The sequence below is a fragment of the Homo sapiens genome, chromosome 11 (genome assembly GCF_000001405.40).
Source record: "Homo sapiens chromosome 11, GRCh38.p14 Primary Assembly".
Lineage (NCBI taxonomy): Eukaryota > Metazoa > Chordata > Mammalia > Primates > Hominidae > Homo > Homo sapiens.
In genome coordinates, this window is record NC_000011.10 from 122,436,300 (window position 1) to 122,451,473 (window position 15,174).

At 40.4% G+C, this 15,174-nt stretch overlaps 1 pseudogene, besides 1 other annotated feature; it reads left to right on the top strand.

The window, feature by feature from the left end:
• Positions 5,126–5,790: an enhancer, noted in NCBI's record as "H3K4me1 hESC enhancer chr11:122312133-122312797 (GRCh37/hg19 assembly coordinates)". NCBI's record gives its function as "activates a minimal SCP1, AML or CMV promoter by ChIP-STARR-seq in primed H9 embryonic stem cells {active_cell/tissue: H9 hESC(primed)}" and the evidence as "EXISTENCE:reporter gene assay evidence [ECO:0000049][PMID:30033119]".
• Positions 12,911–13,032, top strand: RNU4ATAC10P (RNA, U4atac small nuclear 10, pseudogene; annotated as a pseudogene).

Sequence of the window (15,174 nt, forward strand, 5' to 3'; positions counted from 1 at the left end):
CCCAGATGCCTGGATGTTTTCCAGTAAATGAATATATTCAGTTGGCTAACCTGGGTCACACTCTGCCAGGTTTCCTTTCCAAAGAGAGCCAAGGGAGGAGGCTGCCATTAGCACCAACACTATTCATGGCACTGCCCCCAAAGTAGTGTTTCCTGTATATTCTTCTGGAACTTGAAAGTATGAAATGCAATATTCCCGAGCATGTCATAGTGGTTGAACTCATGGTCAAGTATATATTGTGGGTCAGCAATACAGGCAAGAATGTTTTTTATATTTACAAATGCTTGAAAAAAATAAAAGAATAATATTTTGTGACATGTAAACATTCCAAGAAATTCAACTAACTTCAGTGTCCATAGATAAAGTTTTATCAGAACGTGTCCCACTCTTTCATTTACATATTGGCCATGACTGGTTTTGCACTGCAACATCAGAGTTGAACTGTTGCAATGAGACTGTAAGGCCTGTAAAGCCTAAAATATTTACTATTTGGCTCTTTCTAGAAAAATCTTGCTGATCCTATTCACAATAGCAAAGACTTGGAACCAACCCAAATGTCCAACAATGATAGACTGGATTAAGAAAATGTGGCACATATACACCATGGAATACTATGCAGCCATAAAAAATGATGAGTTCATGTCCTTTGTAGGGACATGGATGAAGCTGGAAACCATCATTCTCAGCAAACTATCACAAGGACAAAAAACCAAACACCGCATGTTCTCGCTCATAGGTGGGAATTGAACAGTGAGAACACGTGGACACAGGAAGGGGAACATCACACACTGGGGACTGTTGTGGGGTGGGGGGAGGGGGGAGGGATAGCATTAGGAGATATACCTAATGTTAAATGAAGAGTTAATGGGTGCAAGTACACCAACATGGCACATGTATACATATGTAACTAACCTGCACAATGTGCACATGTACCCTAAAACTTAAAGTATAATAATAAAAAAAAGGGAAATCTTGCTGATCCCTAGTGTAAATGATTAATCACAGAGCCATTTTAAGAACAAGATTTTTTTGTTTTGTTTGAGCAGGCTAGGGAAAGAAGAAAGGGAATGCCAGGACAAATGGATGTTTAAAAATAAGAGAAGTAGTGACATGGTGATAGAAAAACAGAGAGTTGAAAAAGAAAAGCCTTATCAGCTTCACAGTACAGCTTAGGGTCCACCCATGGCATGGGAAAGAAAATGTCAACTATCCATTTTAATCAATCAATTCTAATATAAATAAAAGTGATGATAATAATTCACATAATAATGGCATAATAAATAGCATTTCATATGAGCCAGGTACTGCGCTAAATGCTGTACACGTTTAATCTCAGGGCAATCCTTACCATGATCCTATGTCATAAATGCTACTATTCCTCCACTTTTCATGTGAAATTAAGGAATAACGGGGTCAGATGGGTGAGGTGGCCCATGCCAGTAATCTCAACACTTTGGGAGGCTGAGATGGGAAGATTGCTTCAGGCTAGGAGTTTGGGACCAGCCTTGGCAACACAGTGAGACCTGTCTCTACAAAAAACTTTTAAAAATTAGCAAGGCATGGTGGTGCATGCCTGTAGCTCCACATACTCAGGAGGCTGAAGCAGGAGGATCGCTTGAGCCCAAGAGTTCAAGGTTGCAGTGAGCCATGATTGTGCCACTGTATTCCAGCCTGGGTGACAGAGCAAGACCCTATCTTAAAAGAAAACAAAAAGAAAGAAGAATAGAGGGGTTGAGTAATTTGCCCAAGGATGCAGGGTCTGAACTGAGAACTTACTGTACAAAAGAGGAGGTCATAGCAAAACTCTTACAAATGACTATGATGCTTTTAAAAGCTCTCACCTTTGCCAAACAGGTCGGTATTGCTAGCAAGAATTAGCAGCTCTTCTCTTGCAGTGGCCTTAGAGCTAAAGGCTTGTTGTTTGATTTCAATGACAAATGTCTCCAGTCTTTGAAGATATGTTTGATTTTAAAAGTCATGTGAGGTTAAGTCTGGTAAGTGGTCAGGCTGAGTGGCAATGGTTTGAGTTATTAAAAGCAAGGTGTTCCCTTCACTATGAATGATGGTTTTCTTAGTGATAATCTTTGCCTAACTGGACAGATAATTCCAAGAAAGATATTACTGAAGAAAAAAAAAGACTCAGTTCTTGTCTTTGTAGAGCTTCCAATCAAACTAACTCTTTAAGTCAGTATGACTGTCAGTCACTGAAAATTCTAACCTTAACTATTTATTTATTTATGTATTGAGACAGAGTCTCACTCTGTGGCCCAGGATGGAGTGCAGTGGCATGATCTTGGTTCACTGCAACCTCTACCTCTCAGGTTCAAGTGATTCTCCCGCCTCAGCCTCCCAAGTAACTGGGATTACAGGCATGTGCCACCACGCCAGCTAATTTTTGTATTTTTAGTAGAGAAGGGGTTTCACCATGTTGGCCAGGCTGGTCTCAAACTCCTGACCTCAGGTGTTCCGCCTGCCTCGACCTCCCAAAGTGCCACTGCACCCGGTCTCTATTTTTTTAAATAGTCAAATGGAAGTATAGAGCAATCTATTCACACTATCTCAAAAGATTATAAATTTTTGAGTCAGGAAGGAAATTTCCATTATTGTTGGCATTGTTGGCTGTGTGATCTTGAGCAATTTCCCTGAGTCTCTGTTTCCTTGTCTGTTAAGTTAGGATACTTCACAACTTTCTCAAGAGGGACCCTGAGAGGGAATTAAAACTAATGCCTTCAAGCATTCATTGTATAAAGGGAATCAATTTCTCTTCTATCATATAGAATGGTACTAGTTATGCACCATCCTTGGGGTAATTGAGAAAACAAGTCACTCAGATCATTTCCTATGTCCTATGGCTCAGATAAAACCAGGTACTACATGTGAAAGACTGCATGAGGATTCAATAGGATAATAAATAGCGTTTATTGTAGGTATAAAATAGCATTTACTATAGGTTTAATAAATAGCATTTATTATAGGTGTTATTTATTATATGTGTAATAAATAGCATCATGTATGGCACATGGAAGGGGTACTCAGTAATATTAGTATTTTTCCTTTTCTACAGCAGGTTGGAAATTGGGCTGAGGTTTTCACTGAAGATGATAGCAGTGCCCTTCCACAGTGTGACTCTCAAGGCAGCTTCTGGGCGCCCATCTGCCCAGAATGACAATTTTTCCTATAAGGAGGCACTTTTGAAGAAGGAGAGGAAAGGGATGTTGATTGGCATTCTGTCAGGCATTCCATGAACTAAGAAATGAATGGGGATCATGCTGGTGGCTGTAATGGATCTGGCAGCCCCATAGTCACTCCTTCTTCCCTGTATTTATCTGTTTACCTAATCCACTTCTTGACCGACAGCTCCTTGAGGGCAGGGGCTAAGGACTAGTCTTTAATTGTACCTTTATATCTGCAGAGACTAGCAAATATTAATACCTATGAGGCATTAACGACTTCACGGTTTCCGAGGAAAGCCAGAAGGTATGAAACTGGGACTGTGGAGCAACCTCTTGCTTTTCATGGAACTTTTAGCCTATGAGGCACTTCAGGGAAAAGAAGTTCTTCCTGGAACCCAGGAAGCTGAGTTCCTCACGTCTCTGAGCTCAGAGCGTCTATCTCATGTCAAGATCCCTTCGACAAGTGCAGGAGAGGGTGACAGGACGGCTGCATAATCAACCCCGCCAGCTCACACGCAAGCTATGACCTCCAGAAGGGACAGGACACCTTTAGAATACTTTCTACCATTTCGCAAGCTTCTGGGCACGAAGTTCTCTAATCTCAGGTCCCCACGTGACTCCACAGTCCATTTTTCTCTTCTCACATCTCATCTGGTCAAGCTTGACTAAAATTATCTTGTGAACCACCCAAGTAAACACTTGCCTTTGTCTCTTCAAATGGTGTCGATGATATGTCAATGTACACACACACCAAACTGATATAGTATCGCTAGCAGTGTCTCTTTAAAGAGGAGATGTTTTGGAAGGCAGGACACTCTACAGTAAGAGCCTTTTGCTGTGCAAGGTTCACAGCTGTTGCTGTGGCAACTCTCACAACCTCGCTGAGTATCCAAATAAATAGTTTGTTCTTTTTTTTCCTCCCTAAGTAAGATGGGGGAGGGGGACGATCGATGAGACTTGCTATTGGGATCCATTTGGAGTTCTGGAGTCAGTGCAAAAATTGAGGTTTCCTAAAACGACAAAGAAATAAAGGCTTTGGGAAAAGCCCACACCCCTCAAAGGCTGCAGATGGAAAATGGAAGGGAACTGCGTGCTGGAACCTTAGCAGGCGCCGTGGCTTTGAAAAGAAGCTCCCAGCAGCAAACACCCAGGCAGAAAGAAAGAAAGCTGCGGGGTTCCGACCCCACATTCCGGCGGAGAGCTCGGGCCTCTCTGCGGGGGGGACGCCCAGCCTCCCCCGGCCTGCCACCCCAACCCCCCTCCTCCGCTCCCCCCACAGACACGTCTAAACAGCCCAGGATCTCCGGTTAAACAAAGAGAGTGGTATGCCTTAAAAAAAAAAAAAAAAAAAAAAAAACAAACAAAAAAAAACTTTTATTTTCGTGTGATAGGTGATATGTGGAAAATTAATTACAGGAAATAGCACTGCGAAAAGCAGCAGCATTCGTCTTTAAATGGATATGGTCCCCCCCTTCTCCGCCCCCCTCCTGGCTCTTCCTCAGCCCGGCGCAGACAGACACCGCCCCTACCCTCCCCCAAACTCTTTTGTTATCAGTTGAATCACGTCTCGTGCCAAGCAAAAGGTCATTTCAGGTCATCTTGGAGATGAAAGGACGGGGTAATGTATATGAAGGTGCGGGAATTGGCAAGCCCAAAAAATATATACATACACATATACATATACATATACATATACATATACATATACATATACATATACATATACATATACATGCACATAGAGACAGAGAGAGAGAGGTGGGGCAGCGCGGGGGCGGGGGGAGCGCGGTAGTGGGGATGTGAGAAACGCCAGCATTCTAACAAGAACAGAGTGATGCCAGAAAGACGCAGGAAATGTTTCAAAGCATGACAAGCACTGTCCAATCTGTAGCTAATTCCTTATAAAAATAAGAATGTGGCTTATAATTGTTAGGTGCCTGGAGGGTAATTAGAGTTTCTAATTGTTCTCATCCACAATCTCATTTTTGACCCTTCATCAGAGAGCGAGAGATGCCGCCCATTGCGAAAGTGCGCGTTCTGGAAACGTGCTGCATCTGCGGGGCTTTGGCGAACGTGCTCTGCTGGGCCAGAGAGGCGGGACATATCAGACTTAGAGCCTCCACCAGAAGGGGGTTGGGGGCAGAGGGTTGGCCTGGTCCAGTCACCCTCTTGAAGGGAATTTAACCACCAGGGTATGTGGGCAGTATATTTAGGGTGTTTCAGTAGCAAGCACAGATCACTTTGTTTGGAGATAAGAAGAGAAAAAAAAAACGAAACAAAAAAAAAAATACCTTGCATAGAGTTGTTGTTGTTAATGTTTTCCCTACACTGTTTACTGGGTAGGGATGGCATGGTTTTTTATTTCTCTACTAAAAGAGACGCCACTCCCTCCTTTGAGTTTGTAATTCAATGCCATTTCAATAAAGACAATTGGCTCTCGCTGTCTCTGAATTCTTGCCAAGTGCATTTTCCCCTTTCTTTTCCTTCCCACTGCTGTATTTGAATGTCCTGTATTTGCCTCATCAATTTTTTTTCTAAGAAGCAAGTTTGTTTTTTTTTTTCCAATAACGCAGATGCCAACAGCAATCTATCAAGCGAGTGGGAGGTTTAGGTAATAAATCGTTTGTTCCCAGATACCAAAAGTTTCTTACATGGAAACTCCCCCTATAGCCTCCGCTGCCATGGGCTCCGCTCCACTCCCTCTTCTTACTAGTCAAACTCCATCTACCACCCCCCATTCTTTCCACACCCACAGCAATTCAAACAGGGAGGCTTCTGAGGCAACCAGTTAAAGGTAAGCTGATTCTTGACAGGTTCTGTAATAGTAAAGCCAATGAGATTTGGTAAAATTCGTCTGTTACCCCATCAGTCCTGGAAAATAGCTTTTTACAATGGTTATCATCTCAATGTGTGGCACCTGCTAGAGAAACTGGCCTCCATATATGCCTATTCCCCAACTCACACCATTATAAAGGCATACTCACTAAAGTTATACTAGCTTCCTCATTACTAGAGTCATGTGTTTCTAAAGAAATACAAGTCATTTCTGTAACTGTTGTAGATGCTAGCAGCAGAAAGCTCAACATCCTGGGGGTTTGAAGGGAATGGACTCAGTTCTTAACAAAATGGCATTCGTATATATGGGGTGTAGGGAGGTGGTCATTGTGCAGAATGAAGGGAGGAAGGAATAGAGAGTAGTCCAGAGGGTCGGGCAAGATACCTTGATTTAGCCAAAGTCAGCAGCTACCTGATTAATAATTGAAGTGCTGTTAATACGTGGATGAGGATTGTCTGATGCTTACACCAATCAGAGGATGTGGCACCCCCAAGTAACCAATGAGACTTCTCAGGCATTGGTCCTTTTCCATTCGTTACATGCACCCTGAGGAAAAACCCCAAGGCAAATCTGATGATGTCGGCTGGGGCATGCAACTGTCACATAGAGAAGATGGCAAGTTTCCTCTATTTATCATTTCTGTTGAGCAGTATTGTATTATACACACGAGCAAAGCAACAATATTCCATGTTTATGTCTTGCTAGATCACCTAGAAGTTCCGACAGACTTAAAATACAATCAGGCATTTCCCATGCCTTACTGAGAAGGAAGAAAGAAAGGGATCTAGTAGTGATTAAATAATCACTATGTATCATGTGATAGTCACTTTAAATCACTATCACTCAGTCCTCACATCAACTCTGTGGATAGTGTAATTATTTCATTCACTGGCGAGGAAACTGACAATCAAGGTGGGTTGAGTAACCTAATTAGAGATCACCACACATCTAACAAGAGAAGGGAAGAAAGCTCACATTTAGTGAGCACCCCTTGTTTCAGAGACTATGCTTAACTTATCACACATCTACTTTCAAATAACCGTATGCTATGCATAATATTGTCTCCATATGATAGATGAAAGTGAGATTCAAGAAACTTAAGTAACTTATTCAAAGTCACAAAGTTGGTAAATGCAGGAGCTGGAATTCAGACTCAAGCCAGTGTGACGCCCAAAGCTCATGCTGTTTGCCTGCAACTGATGCCTCAAATATTAGCCTGGGATAGAAGAATGAAAGGTTAGTTATCAGCCTTACTCCCAATAGGACAGCACACAGTATATCCTCAATCCCTATAAGCTTACCTCGAAAAATTTACCTTGGCATGTATATAAAGACTGTCCATGATTGGGCATAATGAACAAAGTCCCATTTGTCTAAAGGAAACTGTTTCAGACAGTTTCACGGAGGATCACAAATATAAGCCTTTAGGTCTGATCTTCAACTCAGACCTCATGAGCGATGTTGGTTTGCTTAATGTTTCAAAGGCAGGAAAAGTGAAAGACAGGAAATTCCCTGGGCTTATTCTCATTCTAGCTTTTTACTATTAAGTCTAAGATTATTTCTGAATGTAATCACCAAATCTGTCATTTTCAACTGATTTGGCCATTTTAGTGTGTGGCATTTATTTACTCAATAAAATATTGAGTGCTTACTAGGCACCAGGCAATGTGCTCTATGTTAACCATACACCAGTGTTTGTGCAATTGACAGAGTAATGCTGCCATTCATTGTTTAGGGAACATCAGAGGAGAAGGAGAAAAAGAAGGAAGATCGGGAGGATGTAATGAAGTGGGTGGATTTGGCAGACTAAACTGAGTCTGAGGTGCCTGCAGAAGCACCTGCTGGTGCTTCCTGATAAGTAATTGGAATTATGGGTCTTGCTTTCCGGAGACAAATCTGGACTAAAAATATAGTCTCAGGATGGACTCACATATGGCAGATGGTAACTCAAGTCATGGTGGTAACTGAGATCATCTGGGGAAACAGGGCAAAATGGGAAAAGAACGGGACTTAGAATAGCAGAGACCAGAAGAACCTAATGTTTAAGGGATATTTGGGATCAAGTACGTTCCCCAATTTCGTATGTGGCAAAGTAGGCCACCCTTTTCATTAATTTGCTAATTTATCCAACCAGCCCTTACCCATCACCTCCTATATGTTAAGTGCTCATAATGCAAGCATGAGTAACATCTGATTCCTTGCCTTGAGGGGATATAATAGAGGAGAATTCAAATGTATTTATATACAAAGATCTGTCTATATTCTTTCTGAAGGAAAAAAAGAGATTGGTGAGACAGGCTCATAGTGGTAATGATTTTTTTAATTAATGAATTTATTTATTTATTTTTGAGACAGAGTTTTGCTCTTGTTGCCCAGGCTGGAGTGCAATGGCACTATCTTGGCTCACTACAACCTCTGCCTCTGGGTTCAAGCGATTCTCCTGTCTCAGCCTCCCGGGTAGCTGGGATTACAGGCACCCGCCACCACACCCAGCTAATTTTTATATTTTTAGTAGAGATGAGTTTTCACCATGTTGGCCAGGCTGACCTGCAACTCTTGACCTCAGGTGGTCCACCCGCCTCGGCCTCCCAAAGTGCTGGGATTACAGGTGTGAACCACCATGCCCAGCCGATATATTTTTTTAATTTTTTACTTCCATAGATTATTAGGAAACAAGTGGTATTTGGTTACATGACTAAGTTCTTTAGTGGTGATTTGTGAGATTTTGGTGCACTCATCACCTGAGCAGTACACACTGCACCCAATTTGTAATCTTTTATCACTCATCCCCTTCCTACCCTTTCCCCCTGAGTCCCCAAGGTCCATTGTATCATTCTTATGCCTTTGCATCCTCATAGCTTAGCTACCACTTATGAGTGAGAAGATATGATGTTTGGTTTTCCATTCCTGAGTTACTTCACTAAGAATAACAGTCTCCAATGTCATCCAGGTTGGTGCAAATGCCATTAATTTATTCCTTTTATGGCTGAGTAGTATTCCACTATGAGTGTGTGTTTGTGTGTGTATATATATATGTATGTATATCAGTTTCTTTATCCACTTATTGAATGATGAGCATTTGGGTTGGTCCCACATTTTTGCAATTGCGAATTATGCTACTATAAACATGAGTGTGCAAATATCTTTTTCGTATAATGACTTCTTTTCCTTTGAGTAGATACCCAGTAGTGGGATTGCTGGATCAAATGGTAGTTCTACTTTTAGATCTTTAAGGAATCTCCACACTGTTTTCCATGGTGGTTGAACTAGTTTACATTCCCAGCAGCAGTGTAGAAGTGCTCCCTCTTTGTCACATCCCTGCCAACATCTATTATTTTTTGATTTTTTGATTATGGCCATTCTTGCAAGAGTAAGGTAGTATCGCATTGTGGTTTTGGTTTGCATTTCCCTGATCATTAGTGATGTTGAGCATTTTTTCATATGTGTATTGGCCATTTATATATCTTCTTTTGAGAATTATCTATTCATGTCCTTAGCCCACTTTTTGATGGGATTGTTTGTTTATTTCTTGCTGATTTGTTGGAGTTTGTTTTAGATTCTGGATATTAGTCCTTTGTCAGGTGTATAGCTTGTGCAAATTTTCTCCCACTCTGTGGGTTGTCTTTTTACTCTGCTGACTATTCCTTTTGCTGTGCAAAAGCTCCTTAGTTTAATTAAGTCCAGCCTATTTATCTTTGTTTCTTGTTTTGTTTTGTTTTGTTTTGTTTTTTGAGATGAAGTCTCACTCTTGTCCCCCAGGCTGGAGTGCAATGGCATAATCTCAGCTCACTGCAACCTCCACCTCCCGGTTTCAAGCGATTCTCCTGCCTCAGCCTCCCGAGTAGCTGGGATTACAGGCACCTGCCACCACGCCCGGCTAACTTTTGTATTTTTAGTAGAGACGGGTTTTCACCATGTTGGCCAGGCTGGTCTTGAACTCGTGACTTCAGGTGATCCACCTGCCTCAGCCTCCCAAAGTGCTGGGATTACAGGCGTGAGCCACCATGTCCAGCCTTATCTTTGTTTTTATTGCATTTGCTTTTGGGTTCCTGGTCATGAAATCCTTGCCTAAGCCAATGGCTAGAAGGGTTTTTCTGATGTTACCTTCTAGAATTTTTATAGTTTCAGGTCTTAGATGTAAGTCCTTGATCCACCTTGAGTTGATTTTTGTATAAGGTGAGAGATGAGGATCCAGTTTCATTCTCCTACATGTGGCTTGCCAATTATCCAAGCACTATTTGTTGAATAGGGCATCCTTTCCTCACTTTATGTTTTTGTTTGCTTTGTTGAAGATCAGTTGGCTGTAAGTATTTGGGTTTATTTCTGGGTTCTCTATTCTGTTCCATTGGTCTATGTTCCTATTTTTATACCAGTACCATGCTGTTTTGGTGACTATGGCCTTATGGTACAGTTTGAAATCAGGTAATATGATGCCTCTAGATTTGTTCTTTTTGCTCAGTCATGCTTGGGCTGTGCAGGCTCTTTTTTGGTTCCATATGAATTTTAGAATTGTTTTTTCTAGTTCTGTGAAGAATGACAGTGGTATTTTGATGGTAATTGCCTTGAATTTGTAGATTGCTTTTGTCAGTATGGTTGAAAATAATATTTAAATTGGACCTTGGGTAATGAATAGGGTGGTAAATAAAAGAAATCTGACTTCTGTATCTTTTATACAATGTAAATACTTAATAAATACTAACAATGGGATAGACCAAAAACATGCTAAGAAAAAACAGAATATAATGGAAGAGTAAACTTGGGAACCATGCAAATAAGGATCACCAGGGAAATGTATAAAGGAAAGAAGAATGGAATTAAAGATTTTTTAAAAGAAGAAAAGAATAACTGTATTCCTAGAGGAAATGATTTTATTAACCAGGGAAAAGCACTGGAAAGAGCAGTTTGGGAAAGTTTCCTTAGAATCCCGGGGAGGATAAAGCATCTAATTTTGGAAGTTGGAAACAGCATATTAGCCAAGGGTCTCTAATTTGGACTAATGAAAGCAAATTCAAAGTATAAGAAAAAAAGTGGAGATGTGGTGTTTGTTATATGAATGATGTGGTATTTCACAGAATTCAAAAGAAGGGATAGAGCTGGATCTCAGGAAGAGATTGGAAGTATGAACTGGAAAATTGTTAGGAAGCCAAGTCTGACTCTACCTCTCTATCATCCCTGCCTTTCTGCATCGAACTTCTCCCTTTGCTAATCAACTTTCTCTGCTTCTCAGTTCACATGTTGGAATGTGGGTGAAAAACAGCTTGGGAGTTTGGATGCTCCAATTCCTGCTCCACACAGTTCTTACTACATGATTTCTGAAACCAGATTCCAAATTAAAAGGCAAGAAAATGCAATAGACTTGCTGTGGGTCAGCTGTCCACCTATGACAATAACATGGCTGGGAGACAAGGCACGTGATGGTAGAAATTAGACAAGCAGGGCAGAAAGAATGCAGATAGCTTTTTGCATGTAAATCTATTCTAATGGCTTGTGGATTGGACATATATTCCATATATCCAGCATATATCCAGAATATGCTCTGAAATTGTGACTTTGACCTGAAACCAAGCTTGTACATGGAAGCTATCACAACAGGTATCATTTCCTTAAAGAATGGAAGACTATAATCCTTTGGATATATATACCCAGTAATGGGATCGCTGGGTCAAATGGTATTTCTAGTTCTAGATCCTTGAGGAATCACCACATGGTCTTCCACAATGGTTGAACGAGTTTACACTCCCACCAACAGTGTAAAAGCATTCCTATTTCTCCACATCCTCTCCAGCATCTGTTGTTTCCTGACTTTTTAATAATCGCCATTCTAACTGGAGTGAGATGGTATCTCATTGTGGTTTTGATTTGCATTTCTCTGATGGCCAGTGATGGTGAGCATTTTTTCAGGTGTCTGTTGGCTGCATAAATGTCTTCTTTTGAGAAGTGTCTGTTCATATCCTTTGCCCACTTTTTGATGGGGTCATTTGCTTTTTTCTTGTAAATTTGTTTGATTTATTTGTAGATTCTGGATAGTGGCACATATATACCATGGAATACTATGCAGCCATAAAAAGAATGAGTTCACGTCCTTTGCAGGGACATGGATGCAGCTGGAAACCATCATTCTGAGCAAACTATCACAAGGACAGAAAACCAAACACCACATATTCTCATTCGTAGGTGGGAATTGAACAATGAGAACACTTGGACACAAGGCAGGGAACATCACACCCCGGGGCCTGTCATGGGGTAGAAGGCAGGGGGAGGGATAGCATTAGGAGAAATACCTAATGTAAATGACGAGTTAATGGGTGCAGCAAACCAACATGGCACATGTATACCTATGTAACAAATCTGCACGTTGTGCACATGTACCCTAGAACTTAAAGTATAATAATTAAAAAAAAAAAAAGAGTGGAAGACTAAGAGTTGGAAGACTGAGAACCAACTGAACTACAGGATTAAATCAGGTGAAAGTAGGGGAAAAAAGACTTGTTATGATCTCAGCAAAATTGGCCCCTGAAGCCATGCCAAGCACCTATAATTTGTTTCGCTGACATTGATCATACTGAGAAAGAGCAGCTGATAGCAGTCGAGACAGCAGGGCCAGATTTAGGGTGAGCCGAGTGAGGCAGGGTCATGTGAATGCAGGGTAAAATCCTCTATCTTTATTTATATTGTTGATATTTTGTTCATCATGGATAGTTGTGTGAATTTCTACTTTTAAAATATTGCATAAAGGTATTATTCATCTTGATTTCCAAAGTCTTGGTGCCTCCTTAAGTTTTGCACCTGGAGCACGTGCCTCACTCACTTCATTCTCATCCACCACTCAGCTATACAGTTGGAAAAGCATGTGATGATATGGACAGCACCTAGTATAAAGAGAAGCTTGAAAGAATTTTGAAAAGTCAACTTAAGGTTTACTACTGTCCAATGAGTGCACAGTGAGGGCACTACTGCTAACGCCTACACAAGACACCCACATCAATTAGAGCTTTGCTTTACTTTGGTGCAATTTTTGGAAAAATGAAAACCTGATTTTCCACAATAAAGAAAATAAAACAATAAATAAAATTTTAAACAAAGATTTATAGAGCTAAAACAATAAAATGCCTAAAGTAAAGCATAAGACAAAATCTTTGTGATCTTGAGTTAAGCAAAGATTTTTTATATAGGACAAAAAAATTATGAACTATAAAAGAAAAACCTGATACCTTGAAATTTATCAAAATTTAAAACTTCTGCTTTTCAGAAGACACTGTAAGAAAATTAGTAGACAAGCTACATACTTGGAGAAAATATTGCCAAACTTATATCTGATAAAGAACATATTTAGAATATATGAAGAACTCTCAAAATTCAATAAGACAATCCATTAGTAAAAAGTGCAAAATATTTGAATATACATCTCACCAAAGAAAATATACAAGTCAAGTAAGTGCTGAAAAAGAGGCTCAACATGATTAGTCAAGATTGGAATCAACAGAAACACTTTTTTAAAAAAACCTCAAACTCTATGGCAATAACACAAGAGAAGTGGTTAATATAGAGAAACCTTTGCTCATATGTGGCTCTGGTGTTTTGTCAAAAGTAAACTGACTGATCATCTATATAGAAAATCCCAAATAATCTGCAGGAAAATATACGAGAACTAGTAAGTGAATTTAGCAAGGCTGCAGGACACAAGGTATTGTGGGTTGAATTGTGTCTCCCTAAAATATATGTTCAAGTCCTCACCTCCAGTACCTGTGAATGTGACCTTATTTGAAAACAGGGTCTTTGCAGATGTAATGAGTTAAGATGAAGACTTACTAGACCAAGGTGAGTCTTTAATTCGGGGACTGCTGTTTCTACAAGAAGAGGGAAATTTGGACACAGAGACCAACCCAGAGGGAGAATGCCATGTAGCAGTAGAGGCAGAGACTGGAATGATGCAGCTACAAGACAGGACCGTCAGGGATTGCTGACAACCACCAGAGGCTAGGAGAGAGGCATGGGACACGCTTCCCTCAGAGCCTCCAGAAAGAACCACATTTGCTGGCACTTTGAATCTGGACTTCTAGCCTTTCAGAACTGTGAAATAATAAATTTATATTGTTTTAAGCCCTCCAGTTTGTGATAGTTTGTGATAGCAGCCCTAGAAATTACAAGGTCAACATATAAAAGTCATTTGTGTTTCTAAATAGTAGCAATGAATAACTGAAAACTAAAATTTTTAAACATTATTTAAAATAGCCTAGAAACTATAAAATATTTCATGGTATATCTAACAAAGTGTGTCCAAAGTTCATGCACTGAAGACTATAAAATATTACTGAAAGGTATTAAAGAAGATTGAAGTCAATGGAAAGGTATATTGTGTACATAGATCAGAAGGCCCAGTTTTGTTAAGAGGCAATTCTACCCAAATTGATCTATAGGTTTAATGCAATGCCATGCAAAATTCCAGCAAGTTTTTAGAAATTGACAAGCTGACTCTAACATTTATATGGAAATGCAAAGGACCTAGGATAAACAGTGTTGGAAAAGAAAAATAATTTGGAAGAATTATACCACCTGACTTCCAGTCTTACTACAAAGCCACAGTAATCAGTCAGTATGGTAGATTATTGGCATAAGCGTAGACATATCGATCCATGGGAACAGTAATAGACCTACACATACAGAGTCAATTGATTTGCACTGAAGGAACCAAGTTATTTCAGTGGAGATAGGATAGTGTTTTAAAGCAAAAAGCAACTAAAACGATATCCACATTAAAAAAAAAAAAAACCAACTTCAACCTTTACCTTGCACTCTACACAAAAATTACCTTGAAATGGATTATAGCCATGAATTTAAAGATTTATAGAGCTGGCCTGGCGCGGTGGCTCATGCCTGTAATCCCAGCACTTTGGGAGGCTGAGGCAGGTGGATCACGAGGTAAGGAGATGAAGACCATCCTAGCTAACACGGTGAAACCCCGTCTCTACTAAAAAAAAAAAAAGTTATACAAAAAATTAGCCGGGCGTGGTGGCCGACGCTGTAGTCCCAGCTACACGGGAGGCTGAGGCAGGAGAAGGGCGTGAACCTGGGAGGCGGAGCTTGCAGTGAGCTGAGATAGTGCCACTGCACTCCAGCCTGGGAGAGACGCCGTCTCAAAAAAAAAAAAAAAGATTTATAGAGCTA